Here is a 21,492-nt window from a genome sequence, read left to right as displayed (position 1 = left end):
GAAAGCAAACCTATGAGGAAAGGAGAACTACTGCATATAAGAAGTAATTTTATTTTTGTATACCAGCTGTTATGGATTGAATTCCGTCCCCTTAAAACTCATATGTTGAAACCCTGGCCTTCAATGTGGCTGTATTTGGAGAAAGGGGTGCTTGGGGTAATAAAGTTTAAGTGAGGTCATAATTGGCCTTACTCCAATAGAACAGGTGTCCTTATAAGAAGAGGAAGAGATACCGGAGGGATATCTCTTCCCCTCCCCCTCATGAGTACACTGAGGAAAGGCCACATGAGGACACAGTGAGAAGGTGGCCATCTTTAAGCCAGGAAAAAAAAAAGCCTCACCAGACACTAATCCTGCTAGCACCTTGATTTTGGACTTCTACCTTCCAGAACTGTGAGTAAATAAATTTCCATTATTTAAGCCACGTAGTGTATGGTATCTTATTATGATAGCCCAAACTGACTAATGCACTAGCCACAAATAATGAAAATTAAAATAAAAATGATACAATTACAATAACATCAACAATATGAAATGCCTAAAAATAAATGTTAACGAGCCTAAACATATGTAACATAAAGTCAATATACAAAATTTACGATATACAAAATGTAGTCTCAAAGACTAAGCTATTAAGAGTGACTTTCCCCCCTATATATTAGAAAGACAGATGCAGATAGCTATAGATAGCAGGAGTTGTCATGAAAACTCACAGAGAACTGAGGAAGCTTGTAGATGCAGCTCAGTAGCTACAAGGAAACTCGTAGACACCAAGTGCTTTGGTCATCGTATGCATTTAATTATATGAATTTCTGAAAGTTTTTGGAATGAATGTGTGAAATCTTCCTGTTCTTGATATTTCCTCTAGCTGACTTCAACATTCCAAGCATTAATTAATTTAAAAAAGACATCAGAAGCCATGCCAGAGAGACTCTTTGTCACAGTCTGATTATGAATCTGGAATGACAAGTAAGTTTCAACTTGAGAGCCAACTCTGATAGATTGGTAGTGACTACCTAGAGCAAAAACATTGAGAAAATGATTTTGAAACTTTATTTGAACTCAGTAGGGGAGGGATGTATGGTCAGAGAGCTATGCAAACTGTAGGGGTGTCAATATACATACCTCGTATTAGCCCTCCCTTCCTGAAACCTCACTGGATGCAGGAGGCAGAGGCAGGCCCTCATTTGGCATTAAATAATGCTGCATATATTCAACTTGTGACTTTCAGTGATCATTTAGTTTAGTTGCTATGTGTGGAAAAATCTAGATTTTTCTTGCTCTTTTTACAATTGCTAAACCATTTGATTATTTTGCAATGTTACATAAAAATGAAAAATTCTGTTGTTTAATTCGTATACACACAGGGATAAACACATACACAGAGGGGAGAACTAACATTCATATATGTATCTTGACTTGCCCAATCAGGCAATGGCTAAATGACAAACCCAGATCTGAAATTTAGTTATTTTGTTCCCAAGTCCAGTGTGCATTTCAATACTACAAATATCTTCAATTTATAAGAATCAGAGCCACATATCAGAGCAAAGTGATTTGTTGAGAAGTAGAAAGTTAACGAGTTGCGAAAGAACTCCATGGACCAATCTGGTTAGATATAGGATTATTTTTATTTTACAGTTAGGAGTCATTTATGGGACATTTCATCTACCCTACAATGTTTCATGATGATGTTTGTAATTATCTATTTTCTTGTCTCTTCCCTACTTGATCATAAGCAAACTGAAAACATTCCTTTAATTTCTACCTCTGTAGAGCCTAACACAGCACCTGGCAAACTGTAGGCACCCTAAAACAGTTGGTAAATGCATAATTGAATAAATAGAAATCATCTTAAGCCTTTTACAAGGTTATGACAATTGTCAAGAAAGTTATCTGGGATTTTGAAGAAAATGTAATAATATATCTCTATTGATTTAAATATAATCCATCGGTTGTTAATATCTGCTAGAGGTCCATCCTTGAGCTAGGCACTTAAATCTGCATTATTATTTCTTGCTCACTCACAATATTTGTAAAATGGATTTGATTTTGGACTTTTGAATAGATGAAGAAGTTGATGCTCAGAGAGACCAACCAATATATCCTATTTTACACAGTAAAATACAAATATTTACGTTGAAAGTCCAGCTCCTCTTTCCAGCATAATACTACTTAAACTGGGGGAATACAACTGTGTTTTAAGAATTGCCAGGAATATTTCTTACGATGATGATGATCAGTATTCTCCATAGTTTCTTCAGAGATTAATCTTTCAAATTATGAGATATAAGAACATATTTGTGAAATATTTATCTTCCATTTTTAAGTTAAAGCCTTCTTTGTATCTTAGAATTTAAAGTAAACTTAAAGTAAAACCTAGCAATGTCCTAGCAATATAATGTCTTCCTCTGCTAAGCCCTGAGCAGATCCAACCACGTTGTAATTCAAACTTACAACAATTTTCCACTTGTACCATACCTTCCCTCCCCATTTTGTCCTTTGGATAACCTCATAATGACTTTTACTGTATTTATGCAAGATCTTTCCAATTAGCCCACTGGAACTCTCAAACAGAAGAGAAACAGAAAAGAATGAAAAGAGGAAAGAAGAAAAACGATGATCTGGGGTAGCGTTTAACTAGCAGGAGCTTTTCACACTGTCGGGCCACAGAAACATAGAAAGTCAGAAGGTCCTAGAGTTCTCGTAATCCAGTCCCATAATATTTACAGATGTGTTTACTTTGGCATATGCAAAAGAACACAGGGTTCATAGTCAGTCAATCTGGGGTCAAATACTGACTTTGCTGCTTTCAGCTTTATGAGCTGTGGTATGTTGCTTAGCGTTGTTTTCCCTGATTATAGATAGGAATATTGATATCTAACTCATAGAATTATTTTGAAGATCAAACATGGTAATATGTAATCAGTTAGCACATTTGTGGCACACAGGAAGGGGGCTCTTAAATGTGAGCCCCTATTGTCATTATTCTTGTAATACCGTGGTACTTCATTGCACAATTCTAAATTTATAATCATGTGAGCACTGCTTGGTGTGGGTGCATATTGACCATACTGCTACTGTTCAGCTACTCTCAGGCAGGCCTAGAGCTTAGTAGAGGTGTTGAAAAGTAAATTTAGCCACAACCCCTAAAGATAATACTTTTTAAAAATTTTGGTGCTTAAAACACTATTTTAAGGGTGATACCTAGCAATTCTACAACGATTTTTCTATCTGAATATACATTTTTCCAGTGAGATCTTCTCAATTATCTTGTTCTTCCTTTTATTCATTCAAATTTATTGTATGAAGCTTATTGACTGACCTCAGTAACGTGGACTCAGTTCCTCTAATGCTTTTGAACTCTCTCTCTCTACAAACTCCAGTGCAGAGAAAATAGAATGACACATATGCATTTATAATAGGTAAATTTGGAAGCATGAACTAGTCATGCTCAGTGCAGCTCCTCCATTTTTCTTCGTGGGGCACATAACTTCCAGAAGGCATACATTCTCCCCTGCTCTGATATGCCATATTTTAATGAGAGACAGTCCCATTAGAGAAGACTTGTAGACTTTTGGCTATGACTGTAACTAGCTGGGTTAATCTATGTAATCTGGATCAATATTGGAGGTTTACTTCCCATGTATAAACTACATTCTCTAACTTAGTCTTATCAAAGTAAAGAAGGGAGGCAATATGTTTTGGCCCCTATCTGCTGACTAATTGTTTAAGAAGTTGAGCTATTAATATAAAGGAAAATACTGTTTAAACGACTCCCAAAAGACCATTGTGTTGAGTCTGGGATCATGAAATCTTTGATTCGGACTATTTTCATTTATTTTTCATGCTGCCTTTTATTTAATAGGTCTTTTGCACACTACATTCAAACATTGGAAGAATGATTAGTTTCATACCATGTAACATGCTTGTAAACTAGGTTTGTATACCATTCTGAGATATTTTAGGCCTTCAGATAATAAATATTGACCCTCACTTGGAACCAAGCCAAGGCTAGTCTAGAGTTGCATGTCTTGTCTAATTTTACATTATCTTTGAGGCTCTACATTGTAACAACTGCCAATTATGCTTATGAATATTGGAGATCCAGTGTGGCTTCATCCTTTGAAATAAAATATATTTTATTTATTCCAACGATAAATTAATGAGCAATTTAGAAGGAATGTAGGCTACTATCAATTTAGAGATGCAAGTTCTGCTTGTATGGAGAAAGCAGGAAAAATTACCACAAATCCAAAACAAAAAATTCATAGAAGAAGCATATTTGTGATGTTTTATTATTGGGAAATAGTCTGGCTCAAAAACAGTGCAAGAGCTATAGCAGCAGATTAGGTAATTGAAGGACATTTTGTAGGTGAAGAGAAAATGGGGGATTCAGCAAACATCTTCTTGTTCTGGAAATAACAGTGGATAAACTAAAATACTGGGAAATGAAAAAGTGAGACATGTATTTACAAAGGGAGTTGAGGTTTCTGAGGCCAAACTAGATCTGTGTGAATAGATGAATAAAAAGGAATTCATCAAAGAAACCCAGAGCTAACTGACCTAAAAGGTGAAAATAGAAAAATGGAGGATTTGGGCTGAGCATGTCTGGTTTATTCTCCCCAGATTTACCAATCAAATAAGTCGCTCACCCTCCCTTAGGATATATTGAGTAAACTGACAGAAAGAAGCCAGAAGTATAAGACTAACAGGGCTATCTCCACCTGAAAGAAAATAGAAGGAATGGAGAGAAAAGAATTTTCTCCTAATACGTAACAGTGAATCATGTACAATAAGATCAATAAGTGAAAATATAAAATTAAAACACATGAAAGAAGGGAACAGAAAAACTAGTGACCATTAGCTTTATAATTACCACCATTTGGTTTATAATTTAGCAAAAATTTTCCTAAAACCTACAGCATACAAGGCACCAGGCTAGTTACTATAGATGAACTGACGTAAAAGATACAGTTTCTGCTTTTAGGAGCTTACAGTAAAATGACGAAAAATATATTAAATGAATAACTTAAATATAATGTGTAAATGGTCATATAGAGGTATTCACAAGGGGCTTTAAGAGTACTTAACACAATCTAGAAATGGCTAAGCTTCGGGCTTAGTTCTTGGCTTCTTGGCAGCCAGGAGGAAGAGGTAACAATGGTGAATTTTATAAACTTCAACATCATAAAGAAAAAAATATAGCAATCCTTCAGGAAAGACCAATGTGTCTTTTTTTTCTGTCACTACATTGGAAAGAAGCTTTTTACATGAGATTTTGTAAGAAACGTTGAATGATGTAACGGGTAAAGTTCTCGGCATCAGTTCTTCAGCCCTTGCAGAAGTAGATATCATCTGCTTTGTCTTCATGAATTTTGATGACAGTAAAGAGCATAATATTGTAGAATATTCATTACCAAACTTGTTGCATAGCAGAATCATTTGATCTTTTAAAAACACATATTCCCAGGCATCATTCAATAAGTTCACCCTCAAAGTCTTAAATTCTCAGTTTACATTTTGACAATACCTCACTCCTTTTATCTTTTCTTACACTTTATAAACACTACAGTTGTCTTTAGACCTTATAGAGAACGCCAATTTATTAATCTTTCCATTTCTTTCCAGTCTATTAATTCTCCCCTTAGTTCTCTTTCTTTTCCTGGGTGATTATTTGGCTACTTCCTTGCCAGAATCCTCAACTCCTTAAGCTACTGTAGCACTACACATCTTCAGCCACCACTTTATAAAACGTTAACCCTCTGTGACTTCTTTTTAAAAGAAGTTCATAAACACATAGATGCAAGAACGAATTTTACAATTGATCAAATAGTGTTAAATTATCTTTAGGAAATGTCTCCAAATTATGAGTGAGGACATAATAGTGATAAAGAGCACAGCGATTGCATATGACACCTGCTTGCTATTTATGGAATATAATGGACTGAAAGATATGTTTGCAACACGCAAGGTACGGCAAATTGATAATAAGAGTAGGATGCACTCAGCTGTGTAATAGTCCTTTCCATGAGGAACTTATAGGCTACTTGAGGAGATAAAACAGATAACAATAATAAGATTTATTGAGTGTCTACTAAATTACAAATTTAAATTTGTAATTACTAAACTTCACGATATCCCTATTTATCGGTATCTTTTGCTATATTAACAAACTACTTCAAAATCTAGCAGCTTAAAACAGTCATTCTCAAAATGTGGTACCCGGACCACCTGCATCAGCATCACGTGGGAATTTACTGGAAGCGCAAATTTAGGAACTTCCATGCGAGACCTTTAAATCAGAAACTCTGGGAGCTCATTGGTCTATTGTAACAAACACCCGAAGTGATTCTGATGCAAGCTAAAGTTTGGAAACCACCAACTTAAAAAAGCCATATGTATGTATGTGTTTACAGACGCGTGCGTGCGCATGCGCGCGCGCGCACGTGTGTGTGTATACACACAGAGGACTGAAAGTCCAATATATATATTGGACTTTGTAGTATGCATGCAAGTTTGCATACTTCGTAAGTCCAATATATATATTGGACTTTGTATGCATGCATGTAGGTATATGTATATACATACATACATACATACATACATACATGCATATGGTTGTTTTAGTTGGTGGTTCCCAAACTTTAGCTTGCATAAGAATATACATACATATATATGTATATTCATACATACATACATGTATATTCATACATACATACATGTATATTCATACATACACGTATATTCATACATACACGTATATTCATACATACACGTATATTCATACATACATATATATGTATATTCATACATACATATATATGTATATCATACATACATATATATGTATATCATACATACATATGTATATTCATACATACATATATATGTATATCATACATACATATGTATATTCATACATACATATATATGTATATCATACATACATATATATGTATATTCATACATACATATATATGTATATCATACATACATATATATGTATATTCATACATACATATATATAGTGGATGATTCTTCTCATTTCAGCTATGTTCCCTCATACATCTGCTGGTGAATTAGCTGGGATCTGGCTGATCTACAATATTCTCAATTGAGACAGCTCATCTCTGCTCCATGTGGTCTCTCATGCTTTAGGAAGGTAGCCTTGGCTTGTTCACATGACAGTTGAACATGATTCTAGGAGAGCAAATGGGAGTCCACAAGGTCTCTTGACTCTAGGGGCCTATGTTCAGAACTGGAACCTTTCACATCTGTCATATTCTGTTGGCTAAAGCAAATCTCAAGAACAGTTTAAACTCAGGGAGTAGGGAAACAGACTCTGCCTATTGATGAATGAGCTACAAAGTCACAGTGCAAAGAGCAAAGATACAGGTTTGAAAATTGAGGCCTTTTTGCCAATGGTTTACAGCAGGGTAGATATTTTTATACTTAACATATGTAGGCGTAAGAAATTACAGCTCAGGAAATTTACAAGGTCATCCATCTAAAAAGTGGAAAATACTAAATTTAAACCTAAGCCTGTTTGATTCTGACTGACCAGATCATGTGCAAATAGCTATAATACAACATAGTATGTGCGAAGTAGAATAGAGGCCCAGAAAAGAGATTGTAATAGTTCAAAAGACAGAAAGATGATTTCTGGCTGGAGAAATCAGAAAATTCTCAATGAGAACAATGAAATTTGAAGGATGAGCAATGTAGGAGTGAAATAAGTTTGAGCATAAAACAAAACATTTGTTGAAAACTACCAAAATTCCATTGGTAAATACATGAAAGCTCTTTTAGCTGGAATTTAGGGTATTTAAAAAGGAAAAGAAAGAGATACATTTAGAAAAATAGTCACCAACATGGAGAACTTTGAATACCAAGGTAAGGAGTTCGAACTTGAAGTTTTTGAGCAACACTTATTAAAATAAGGTATTATCATATAAGTTCCAATTATATATTTATCTTCATGCAAATTATCTTTTTGCGGATGTATCCATGGAAAACACTTTACTTTGGAGTGACCTTCCATCCACTATTTTCCAACTGTCTTCCATTCTCTTTAAGGAAATATTCAGGGAATACAGATCTAAGAAGCTAATGTGGCTTTATTCAGATCTGATATTTAGTAGCTGGGGGGTTCAGTTAGGTCACACTTTCCTTAAACCAAAGTTTCCCTAGTGGGCCTATGCAGTGTCATTTATGAGTAATCCTCTCAGCAAGCTGGGAAGCCATATTGATTCTGGAGTGGCTGAAGGCCCCTTGGGTGGTTGCTTCAGGGCAGCCTACTGTGTTCCTTCATTCCAGTGTGCTATGTAAACATTAAGCATTATTAATTTCTATGTGTTCCATATGTATGAGTTAAGAGGCACCACCCTAGAGGCATTCTGTGACCAGGCTCCCAAAGCACAGGGGATGGGGAGATACCTATAAAGCTCCATAACTATGAAGAGATCCTGGTATGTCCCAGAAATGTGCTTGTATTTTGAAGACTCCTAAGTGACTCTAATAGCCCAGCAAATTTCTGGGCACTATTGTAGAAAGCTTCTATCCAGTAAACTTGTCTTCTAATTTCTGGACTTTGGTTCATGACAAACTATAATGGGGAATGTAATGGGTCCCATGCCGCTCCAATTCTGAACTCAGCCCACATAATGGGTTTTCTTACTAAGCACCTACAAAGGCTTTCAATTTCACCTCCCTGCATGCTTTTACTCCATGAGCCACACTTGGGATAACCTGAATTCTTTGAGAAGGCCAAACTTGGAAAGAACACAAACAGATATCCGAACACATGTTTTGATTTGCATGTGGCCCTGGAGCCTCATGAAAGACAGCTTAAATCCAGACCCATAGCTGTACACTAAACTGGAGCTTTGTGAAGACAGCTGAACTGATGGAGAATAAATTAAGTTTCCTGAGAGAAAAATCACACTAAGAGAAGTAGCCTGGCAGAAGGAAACTGACTGTTGGAGACAGCTGTGGTTTCACTTACACTAGCAGATTCTGTTCGAGCATGCTCACATCTAGAGCATCCCTTACCAGCATTAACTTGAGTCACCTGTGTATTCTGGGAAGAAGACTCATTTGAAGAGGAAAACAGTGTCACTAGGGCACATCAGCTCTATTTTAGAAGCCCCCACTGGAAGAACTGGCCTTGTCAAATGGAAAGAGTTGACCCGGTGAAGGAATCCCAGAGGTAGATGCAGGGGAGAAGTAAGAAGAGGATGAACACTTGCCTGAGAGAGATGGGGTGCCGTTGTCTAGAGGAGGTCAGGAAGGGCCCAGGCCAAGACATAGGCAGCAATTTGTGAGTGGCAGCATGATAATGGAAGAGTTGGCTCTCCATTCCAAAAAGGGTATGGTGACTGTAGAGGATGGTGGAATGAAAAGTTGTAAAGATACAGAAAACTTTGGTTATATTTATTAATTAATTTTAATACAAGCTATGTATTGAGTGATTAAAAGGTACAAAGTACTGTTCTAGATCATGGATTTTTGTCAGCAATCAAAACTCAAAAAAGAGAATATCTGTTCTTATGGAATTTACATTTTAGTAGTAGATTTTTTATATGGACAATTGTGGGAAAGTGGGCGAAGGACATGAACAGACACTTCTCAAAAGAAGACATTTATGCAGCCAAAAAACACATGAAAAAATGCTCACCATCACTGGCCATCAGAGAAATGCAAATCAAAACCACAATGAAATATCATCTCACACCAGTTAGAATGGCAATCATTAAAAAGTCAGGAAACAACAGATGCTGGAGAGGATGTGGAGAAATAGGAACACTTTTACACTGTTGGTGGGACTGTAAACTAGTTCAACCCTTGTGGAAGTCAGTGTGGCAATTCCTCAGGGATCTAGAACTAGAAATACCATTTGACCCAGCCATCCCATTACTGGGTATATACCCAAAGGACTATAAATCATGCTGCTATAAAGACACATGCACACGTATGTTTATTGCAGCACTATTCACAATAGCAAAGACTTGGAACCAACCCAAATGTCCAACAATGATAGACTGGATTAAGAAAATGTGGCACATATACACCCTGGAATACTATGCAGCCATAAAAAATGATGAGTTCATGTCCTTTGTAGGGACATGGATGAAACTGGAAATCATCATTCTCAGTAAACTATCACAAGAACAAAAAACCAAACACTGAATGTTCTCACTCATAGGTGGGAATTGAACAATGAGAACACATGGACACAGGAAGGAGAACATCACACTCTGGGGACTGTTGTGGGGTGGGAGGAGCGGGGAGGGATAGCTTTAGGAGATATACCTAATTCTAAATGACGAGTTAATGGGTGCAGCACACCAGCATGTCACATGTATACATATGTAACTAACCTGCACATTGTGCACATGTACCCTAAAACTTAAAGTATAATAATAATAAAATAAATAAATAAATAAATAAATAAATAAATAAATAAATAAGAAAATCGTGTCTCCTCTGCAATACTCAGCCAGAATAATTGAATGTAAGAATCTACGGCAGGTAGTTGTAGAAGGGTAAGTAATAAAGCTGTATTTCTGGTTAATCAAATTAGTTGGAGCTCAAAGCTTTGAGACTCGAGGTATTATTACTTACCAATGAAGAAATTTTAATATTATCCCCAACAAAATACATTTTAAAAGGCAAAATTTTTTAAATCATATAATATATTCTAGTGTATGACCCAAACATTTGGGGACTATCTCTTCTGGATTACTTCAATCACTCATTACTGTATAAATACATAGAAACAACAACTAACTTGCAATCTATTCTGTCCATGAACTTTGAATGAATCATTATTTAGCTCTTTGATAAGTATTGGGAAAAAAAAGATTAACAGAACACAGCCCCTACCTTCAATAGGCTCATGATGCACAAGCATAAATCCATAACAAATCCAAGGAATATCTACAGAAATCCATTTGTTCTGATTAAGGTATGTGCAAATTTCACTCTATTGTGGGAGTTCAGGTAAATAACTGAATAAAGGAGGTGCCATTTGTGCTGGTTCTTGAAGCACAACCCGAACTGAAGTCTGTCAGTCAACCAAGGAGATGAGGGGTATCCCTGCCTAGAGAAACAGAATTTGCACAGAAGTAGTCACATGGAAAAATGTGGAATATGCAGAGAACCACAAAATAGTTTAATAAGACTAGAAAAACTAGATACATAATATCTTTTCCTTAGATTTTTTGAGGCTTGCTTCAGTGCAATATAGGTTCTGACCCTGAGATGTGTCAATGGTGGGCAGTTTGAGGTTGCATAATGTTATGATGCTTACTTTGAAAAGGCTTTGAACTTTTTGTTTTGAACTTCTGAACTTTTTGTTCATTTGCCTAGTCACCCAGCAACTATGTCTGAGCATACTTAAAGGCTAACCAAGCCTTTTTGTGATTAGTTAGAATGACTACAGGGGCTACTAAATAAGGCAGTGGTATTTTAATAGCAGCAGGTGTAAATACATGCAAGAAATCACAATGATTACAATTGGGAAATCATCTTCTGCTACCCCCATTTCACCATTTCAGGACAGAGATAAGTAAAGATGGATTAAACAGAACTTTAAACGTGGAACAACAGGATAGGAGTGATTGGAGATTTCCTAGAACCTCAGTCCACATTATAGCTCAAACATAGCAATTAGACTGGTTGGAAAAGAGCTTCAGCAACTGTGGAGTGTTATGAAGACAGGGAGAAAGAGTTTTATTTGCTATTTATAAAACACTTCTCTCTAGACTTGTACTGTTCAGTACAGCAGCCACTAATAAAATGCGGCTGTTTAAATTTAAATTTGTATTAAATATTCAGTAGAATTTAAAATTCAGTCCTCAATTGCATTGTTTCAAGTTCTCAATAGCCCTGTGTAGCCAGTTACTCCCTTGTTGGACAGCACCAAAGTGGAACATTTTTTTTTTTTATCACAGAGAAGTTCTATCGGGTAGCTCTGCTCTAGATTATATCTTAAGTGAGGCATTCATTTATGTATTAGATTAAAAGGGAAAAATTATGTACTTCTATTGTGTATAAACCAAATACATTTCTATTGTGTACATATACTTCTATTGTGTATCTACCAAATATGTTTCATGCCCTGTGCTTGATTCTAAAAGCACATGTCAGGGAATGGCAGAAGCAAGGGCATGTGGAGGATCCCATGTCGATGAACTTCGATGAATGGTTGGTTTTTTCTTTAGTTTTGGGTTTTGTTTATTTGTTTGTTTGCTTTTTAACCTCCTTGGGGCCCAAGAGCATATTACATAGTAGAAGTTCAATGAATGTTTGTTGACAAAGGTATCAGTTGGTCGAAATTAGTGATTTTCAATCAAATCCTTTCTTGACCATTTTAATATCCAATCTGCTGCAAAATCCATTAGTACAATCAATCGAATCATGCTGTAAAGACATCCAAATCCCACTGGATCACTTATTTTTCAATGCAGAGCTTTTCACAGGGCAAATCCCACAGTAGGAAAAAGATATTAAGATATATTGGAATTCATTTTCCTCTTATTCATCCTAGAGGATGCAATTACTCTTTACAAAGACCTTGAAAATCACTGCATTCCCAGCCTTATCCCCCATGAAAATGGTTTACTCACTCATGACAAATATGCCTTTCTCTCCCCTACCTCTAAACATTCCCACACACATTTCCCTTCCCCTAGTATGCCTTATCCCCCCTTCCCCAACTTCACCTATAAAATATACTATTCTTTAAGGACCTGGTCATCTCTTTATTTTTATTGAGTTCTCTCCTCCCTCACTTACCCTAAAGGAGTCTCTTCCCCTCTAATTAAATCTCTGCTCAACAGAGTTCCTCAGCATTTAGCATAGGGTCTTACTCATAATTGGTCCTCAGTAGATATTTGATAAATGAAAGTATGAATTCTATAGAACTGAAAAATAAGTTTATGATTACAAATGTTGGTACTTTTAAGTTTTCGAAGTACTTTTAACATATATTATTTATCTTCGCAAAATTTCTCTGAATTACATGTTACTATACCCATTTAACAGATGGGACTATTGAGGCTCAGACAAAGGTGTGTCAGTCTCTGTCTCAACGTAGATGGCACACTCAGTGGGCTATGTGAAGACAGTTGAATGAAGGTACTCTGCTCCTGAAAGTTTCTATCTAAGAAGTATTAACACCCTCATGCCTGAAAGGACAAGGGGAGGAAGCTATTATAAGAACTTGGTAAAAGTTATGCTTATAAGAGAGCCACACTCTCCCACCCAGCTCCCAAGAGAAGAGAGCTCTTTAAGGCCTGGCCCAGTAGTTTGTAAGAAGTTAGGGGAAGGTGAAGGAATACCTTGAATTCTTTACCTTTCTCTGATGCTTCCTATTCCCCAAACCCAACAGAAAACAGATAGCAGGACAGCCTGAGAGATGCAGTACTTGGAGATCAGCCTCACAGAACCCATGAGGAGGCACAGGGATGGGAGTATTCTGATGGAGAATGGATGTAGAAAGAAAACCATATTGTATCCGGTATTTAGTCATGCGCTATTGGGTTACAGACCATGATACACAACCCAAAACTTCTGTTCATTTTACTACGCTTCAGCTTCGGCACATAAAAAATAACTCTTTCCCAAAAAAGTACTTGTGTTTGTGTGTCATGTGTGTGCATGTTATATTGTCTCAGTTAAATTAAAACTTCCATAAAATATAAATATCATCTGTGTGACCCTGAACAAGTGACTTAAATACATAGACATTAGTTTCCTTATCTGCAAACTAGTAACAATAGTACCTCTCATGGTGTGGTAGGAATTAAATAAGAAGATATTTATTAAATGCTAGCATGGTGTTTGGCACAGGGGAGGTGCTTCATATATTTCAGTCCTTTATTATTTGTATAACCATCCACAGGGCCTAATTAACACTAGAACCTCAGTAAATGTATATTGATCAAGTAAAAATTAATTAATCGAAAGAAACAAATCAGAAATAAATATGATCAGAGTGTCTTGGGAATATTGAGAAAGAAGTTTCTCACTATGGCCAAATTATAAGGTTAAGTTCTTGCAGGTTGTTTCTATAGAAAGGATGCCATAAAAGAAGTAGAAGATAAAATATGATCCCCTTCCTTTAGGAGATCCCTGTCTATCAGGAAAGAAGGATATTTAAGCAGCCTATTACAACATAGTTTGAGAAGTGGTTGAATATAAGCAGGTGAAACCTGGAAAAGGGAGCCAGTGCTTGGGGAATCAAACAAATCTTCAAAGAGAAAGTGATATTTGAGTTGAGCTTTAGAGAATAAGAGTGTGTTTGAAGAATGAATGAGAGAGGGTAAAAGAAAATTCCAGAAAGAGGAAAAAGATGAACTGTGAAATTAAAAGAGAAAATGTGTGCTAGATCATGTCAAATTTTCCATTAACTTCACTTACAAACATAAGTGAGAGAATGGTCCGGAAATATAGCTCTAAGCACTCCGTCACGAATGCAGAGTTTCTTTGAAGATAATTCTATCTTAAAATATCACGCCAGTGTTGCATTCTGTGCCACAATATATTAGTGTTTTAATAGAAGAAATTGTTTGCTCCCATATTTTCTTTAAAAAAGATAGGACAGATGTCTAAGGCTTATATAAGCTCTTTACAAATGTGAGTTACATTATTATTTACAGACTTTAAACTAGAGTTGGAAAAGTATGGTAAGTCACTCTGGCCTTTTCAACCCCATGGGAAAATTGGTTTTCATACTCTATTCTTCCTTCCAATATAGGTCCAAGTTCAGCGATCCAATGGCTCATTGCCATTTAAAGGAAGGATGAGAAAGTGCCTCTCGGTTTGGCAATAGAGTTTGGGAATTGGCCAGCCCAACTCACTTCAGTGATTTTAATGCAAAGCACTCAGCAAATTAAACTTGTTGATGATAAAATGCTTTCCATTTGCCCCCAGTTTTGGCACTTTTATGGAAAGTTTTACTTCCAATGAGAGAAAAGTTCAAACTAAGAATATGTATAGTTCCCAAACTCACAAGGACAGCCTTGAGGCAAAGGGCAAGATAGAGTGGTGCAACAAGTGGTCTGTCTCTTCCATCTCCAGTCCAAGAGAAAACTTTCAATGGGTAGAACATAAGCATGAGATTTCCAGTCTAAAGATAGGATGTAACTTAAAATGAAAGACTTCTCATCTTTCATTTGTTTATTCACCGAATAGTTATTAAGTGATATTTTCAGTACCAAGCATTATGCAGAAGCCGATAATGCAAAGATGAGTATGAAATATGATTAGCTTTTCAAGGAGCTCATCCTGTAATAGATGAGACACAAAAATCATGTAATTATGAAACAATGTGATAATATGCATTCAGCATTCTGGGGCACCAAAAACAAGCAACTAAGCTAGCATTCAGTAGTGAAAGAGTGAGCTAGTACTAAATCTCTGGACATATTCAACCAGAAGCTGGAAAATTCCATATCAAGGTCACTGTAGACGAATTCTACTTTGGGAAAAATATGAACTGAATTAGAAGTTCTTTTTGACTGCAATACTGTTGACATTTTGGGACAGATAATTCTTTATAGCAGGAGGATGTTCTGTGTATGGGGGGATACTTAGCAGCAGCCCTGGCCACTACTCACTACATGCCAGGAGCATCCTCTGCGCTATAGACTGAAAGCCTGTGTTCCCCCTAAATTCATATGTTGAACCCTAATCCCTAATGTGATGGTGTTTGGAGATGAGGCTTTTGGGAGATGATTAGGTCATGAGGGTGGAACTCTCATAATGAGATTAGTGCCTTGCTTCCTCTCTCTCTGCTCTCTGCCTTGTGAAGACACAGCAAGAAGATGGCAATCGGCAAACCAGGAAGAAGGCCTCCCGAGAACCCAACAATGCTGGAAGCCTGATCTTGGATTTTCCAGCCTCCAGAACTATGAGAAATACATTTTTATTGTTTAAACCATCCAGTCTATGGTAATTTGTTGTACCAGTCCACACTAAGACAAGCTAATTATCAATCAAAAATGTCGCCAGAGATTGCCAAGTGGCTTCTGGAAGAGAACAATCACCTTCAGCTGAAAACCACTAGACTAGATGGTCTCCAATATTTCTTTCATTTTTGGGAATTGAACACAGCGGCCGGCTGGCATTGTTGTAATACTCAAGGAAAACTTACTTCTACTCTCTGATATTGGAGCTACTTAGATTTGACCACAGCTCTGACATGCTCGTAAGGACACAAACCTAAACTAGGAGAAAAACTCAAATCATTAGTCTCAAAGCCACAAATACCGTCTATCTACAATGTCATCAGGCAGTCTCTGCTTGGTCGATGTAAATTGAATAATAATGTCCTGTGCTCAAGCAGTTATACTTCCTGGAAGCCACAGTTACTGACTGAGAGGAACGGCATTGTTACTTGGGCAGAATCAGAACTCAGAATAAAAACGTGCATTTAAAACTGTGCTCTGTGTAACCCCTCCTCCCATCAGAGTTCTGTCCTTTATCTGTTTTATTCATCCATCCTTCTGTGCGTATGTTAAGACAGAAAACATTTGGAAGAACTACTGGACTTCAATTGAGGCCCTGGCTTTTGGTCCTAGTCAGATTATTAAACTCACTGTGTTAATTTGGACAAATTACTTCATATATTGGCTTTGTCATTGAACAAATTATTTCAAGTGCCTGCTATACATGAGAAGCTCTAATGGATGGCTGGAGATACACAGGGGATGACACTGCTCTCCCATTCACAATAGAAAAGAAGGAGAAAAAGAAAGCAGCCCGTATTACATGGGATGGTGTTGGTATGTCATTCCCGCACCACTCTCAGGGGAATTGCAATCAGTTGTTTGCTCCCACATTGCCAGGTTTTTCCATCATGACACTTTCTCCATCAAGGTGACAAACATCCCTGTCTCTGTCCCATCAATTCATGTTGACTGGTGCTAACCATGCCTAGTAATGTCAATGGGCAGGTTATTCATCTGATGTGGTGTCCACACTCAAGGTTGTTCTGTGTTTGTTCTGTGTTGTAGCTTGTTCTGTGTTTCTACCATTTGCTCCCTGGCCCCTGATGAAAGTTGCTTTTTCTGCTTCCCAGTTAAAGGAATCCTATCCAGTCCCTCCTACCTTCTCTTATCAAAATCACTTTTCCATCTTCTCTTTTTCCTTCCCCCAATCTCAGAATTATCTAATCTCAAGGACTCTGAGATTATATTGTGACAAGTATGCATCTGAGAATTTTAGAATCTTCCTCTCTGTTTTGAGAGGCCCCAACTAAACTGAGGTTTTAGTACCAGAGCGGCTAGCAACCCTACCTTAATGGGAAATAAAGGGTGGCTGCACATGGGTATTCACAGCATTCCTTTCACAGGATACTTCCTTTGCCTGGTGGGTGGCCTAATACCTAGTTGTCCAACCTGTGATCCAGGGGTCTCTCATGCAGGAAACTTGTTTATGTTGGCAGATGCCCTTGTGCTCTTGTCTGACCTGTGGCCAGTTTATGCCTGCCTAAGCATCGCTGTGGTGCTGGGGGCCTGATCTTGTGTTCTCCCCAATATCTTGGGGAAAATCTAGCCTAGGACAATTCCTAGTTCTTCAGGTGGAAGACACAAATTCAATGTACCACCACCACCAATAGGAAACAACCTCAAAGATTTTTACTTACAGATTCTGGGCAGGGAGTGCTCAATGAGTTCGCAGGGCAGTCTTCTGGCCCCAGGTCATGGGTCATGGGAGGTAGAAATGAAAATTCAGGAAGAGAAAGAGACAACACATGACAACTAGCAGTATATATAAGGAAATAGGGTGTGGGTCACTTTAAGTATGCAGGCAAATGCCTAAAAGTCTATTTACAGGAGGTGCAGAAAGCGAGGGGTCTAGCCTGCTAGGAAGGAGGGATGCCTCTAAGTTTTATCTCTGGCCACTAGCTTGAGCCATTTGTGTGTCATGTGGAACTTGAAACTGTGTCAAGGGCAATTGATTGCTGCTCTTGGTATGAGAAACTTAAACTTGTATTCAAAATGGATGCTGAGGCAACTTAAAATTATAAGAATTCACTACACTGTCTCACAGAGGTAAACAGTTTCTTTGAGGCTTAATTTTTGCTTCATTTTAGACTGGAAGCAAGGAAAATTATTCCGTGAGAGAGCGAAGGATGAGGAAAATGTTCAGAAAACAGTGAAATAACTAGTCAGGTAGAACCATAACTTGACTCATGAGCTCAATGGTGCCAGTAGCCAGTATGGTGAGCTCAGAGACAGAAGTACCATATTGATACTTCCCAATAAATGGCAGTTGGCAACTTGACCATCAATTTGTAACTGTATGTACTTTTTCTCTAGTGGCCAAGCACTGGTTCTGATTGAAGAGAATGGATCATTGAAGTTATTGGCCAAGACTTCAAATAGCTCTTCATTTTCCCTTTTAGGGCCTCAAATACCCCCAAAATGAAAATAAAATGTTGATTAGGAGCTCTCTTAGATCTGTGAGAGCATTAATATTGTATTATTAGTAGGACTTGAATTCCTTTTCCTACCAGCATCCCTGGTGCACCTCTCTCTCTTACCTAAGAATTACTGGTTGGGGCCAGGCGTGGTGACTCACAGCTGTAATCCCAGCATTTTGGGAGGCCGAGGTCGGGGGATCTCTTGAGCTCAGGAGTTTGAGAACAGCCTGGGGAGCAAAGTGAGACCCTGTCTCTACTAAAAATACAAAAATTAGCCAGGTGTGGTGGCACATGCCTGTAGTCCCAGCTACGGGGGAGGTTGAAGTGGGAAGATGTCTTGAGCCTGGGAGGTAGAGGTTGCAGTGAGCCAAGATCTCACCACTGCACTCCAGCATGGGCTATAGAGCCAGACCCTGTATTAAAAAAGAGAGAGAGAGAGAAATGGTGCTTGATCCAGATGTGAAGGCTGCAACACTAGGTAAAAAGAAAAAGACAGACTCCATTTCTTAATCCACTGGGGAGGTCCTCCTGAGCCTTCATCCACTGGGTAAAGAATTTACCTGCTTTCAGAGTTTTCCTCTGAGAGGCTGATCCATCATGATATGAGCATTGCTGTCCTTTGTGATTCTATAGCATGGACTTGAAGTCAAACCTGAGTGGATATCTTGGTGCCTCCATTTACTTAGTACCTACTGTGATGCTGGACATAGCAACTGAGACTCAGTTTGCTCATCTGTGAAATTAGAAAAATAAATATATGTTGCATGGTATTTTCAGGGCAGTGCCAGGTACTTTTATCCCTACCTCCCAGCATCCAGCCCATAGTAGGCATGCATTAAATGTTAGCCACATTTACCTCCCCACTTCTCGGATTCCCTTTTTAAAGGAGACTTTAATAGCCTCTTGTGTCAGACCACAGAGATATCTTCTTCCTACCATAATTAAGCAACTTGAGAAATCCTGTGAGGTCGATAAATTTGGAAAACGCTTACATAAAACAGAATATAAAATGGCAAGCCCTGCCATAAGAAGCCAGTAAAAGTCAATTGCTTTATGTGACACCTCTACAAATGGCATTATGTCATTGCATAATATTAGTAAGAAATTGTAAGATTTTGTTCAGGCCTATAAAATGTAATGAGTCTCACATCATCTACCAATATAAAAATAAATTGAAAGAAAGTAATATTTTAAAAATAAAAAAATAAACCAAGCTTCCAACTTCTTGGCTTTGTCTATATTTGAGGAAATTTAGTCCATAAAGAAATAAATTTAAATGTTCTTTATTGTGGTTGATTGGCTTTCTCTTTCTTTCTTTCCTTTTTTTTTTTGTTGTTTCTCTTGATTATTTTAAATTTTTCTTTTTGTCTTTTCCATTTAACTGTGAACACCCAAAAACTCTGTTTCAAAAATCAGGCAGTCTTGGCTGAAAAATTCTCCCAATACATAAAAAAGGAACTTTAAATGTTCAAAAAAATGGAAAGTCTTCATGGTGCCAATAAGGAGATGGATTTATTCATCTGGGCTAAAGTACAGGACATTAACTTTCACAGATGCAGTGGTTCATCCAGAAGTTTATGCTAAACCAACTTGAAAAGTCTTTGTACTTCCAAGGAAATGAAGGCTGTATGAGTCTGGGCTAGCAGTGTTTATTTTTTCTTTTTTTTGGTAACAAATAGTGATATGAGAATCCAAAGGCTTCCAGCTAGCATTTCTCTAAGGCAAGGTTGAATGCCCGTTGGTTCTGGAACAGAAGGAATTGATCATTCTGATGAGATTATGCCACACTACCGAAACCCTGGCTTGCAGCTATATTAAATATGATTTGGAAAAATGTAGGCAATAATCTCACAGTTCTTCAACAGTGAAGTCCCATGGATGTGAGCAAACATATCCACTAGGAATAATATATAACCAGATCTAAGTCATTGGGCTCTCTAAATAAACGGTCTGCATATTCGGGGAAGAGAAAAACCAATGTGGTATGTTTGGCTCAAAGAATGAGCTGGGGTTTTCTTCTTTGTCAACATTACCATTCAGTGGTGCAGGTGGGCTAGAGACTCTTGTGGGTAGGGGTACTTTGCTGGTTCAAAATGGAAATAGCATAGAGTAGTTTAAGCCAAGAAGGAAGGCTTGGATCCATGTAACCAATTCAAGTCACTCATAGACTGAGAGAAATTCAAATTTGAATTGAAACCTACAGGTCATCTCTTCAACCTTTAACCCAGTGCTGGAATCCTTTCTCAGATGGCTGAAAGATGGCCATCTAGCCTTGAGATGGACCTTTTCCAGGGGCAGGGAGCTCATTATCTGTGAGTAGCTCTGAGTATAATACTTTGTGTTTATTGTTATTGCCATTGCCACATGGATCACTACTATTTTAAACAGAACTGCAACAATAGCAATAATCCCCAAGGAAACACAAATCTAAGATGGCTGTAGAAGCTCATTTCCTTATTCTCTAGCTTTGCAAGAGCCATCTCAACATTCCTGAGCTCTACCAAAACAGTCTGATACCAGAGGTTAAACTTGGAGAGTCCTCACTTTATAAGCAGGAAGTCATTGAGAGGACCCCTCTTCCTACTCTCTTTGTACAGAAACAGTTTTATGGGGTCAGGGTTCTTATCTATTGGAATACGTTTTGTGGTGTCCCCAATAGAGCTGTCTGCCTGAGTCAACTCTCTATGGAATAAGAACCCAAGGTCTGTGTGTGCTTCCTTTCCACTTGTAAGTTTTATTCTGTATAAATCCTATTTTAGTTTTATACAAAGGGAGTATGTATGTAGGACCCCTTTGCATGACACAATCAGTAACATTAATTGAGCACTTATAAAGTGTAGGCTTCAAGCTAAGCACTTGAGTTTTATTATCATATTTAATCCTCCCAAGGACCTCTGAGGGTAGATACCATACTGATCACCCATTTTGAAGAAGAGAGACCTAAGTCTCTAAGAAGATGACTTGCCCTGGTAAAAACTGGGCTTTTAGCCAAGGTCATGTTTTTAAACTCTGCTACATAGGTGGCCACTTCTGGTATAATGAATAAAGAATAACCT

The 21,492-nt window shown here is 37.6% G+C and overlaps 3 long non-coding RNA genes across 3 annotated transcripts in view; 1 reads left to right on the top strand and 2 right to left on the bottom strand.

The window, feature by feature from the left end:
- The first annotated feature begins 588 nt into the window (after positions 1-588).
- LOC105378761 (uncharacterized) overlaps positions 589-21,492 on the top strand; it is a 94,372-nt gene continuing 73,468 nt past the window's right edge. The window contains exon 1 of the long non-coding RNA XR_947431.2: positions 589-969. This is a non-coding gene — a long non-coding RNA (uncharacterized LOC105378761). The remainder of the gene's footprint in view (positions 970-21,492) is intronic.
- On the bottom strand, positions 7,462-18,602 carry LOC107984962 (uncharacterized). Its single transcript, XR_001738091.2, has 3 exons — positions 17,657-18,602; positions 10,888-11,104; positions 7,462-9,380 (listed from the first exon to the last, which is right to left on the bottom strand). It is a non-coding gene; the product is annotated as an uncharacterized LOC107984962 (long non-coding RNA).
- LINC02778 (long intergenic non-protein coding RNA 2778) overlaps positions 18,813-21,492 on the bottom strand; it is a 144,047-nt gene continuing 141,367 nt past the window's right edge. Inside the window, exons 4-5 of the long non-coding RNA XR_947430.2 lie at positions 18,997-19,169; positions 18,813-18,849 (exon numbers count right to left, since the gene is read on the bottom strand). This is a non-coding gene — a long non-coding RNA (long intergenic non-protein coding RNA 2778). The remainder of the gene's footprint in view (positions 18,850-18,996; positions 19,170-21,492) is intronic.

This window comes from Homo sapiens, chromosome 1, assembly GCF_000001405.40.
Source record: "Homo sapiens chromosome 1, GRCh38.p14 Primary Assembly".
NCBI lineage: Eukaryota > Metazoa > Chordata > Mammalia > Primates > Hominidae > Homo > Homo sapiens.
Note: the sequence above shows the minus strand (reverse complement) of the source record. Positions and strands in the feature narration are given on the sequence as shown.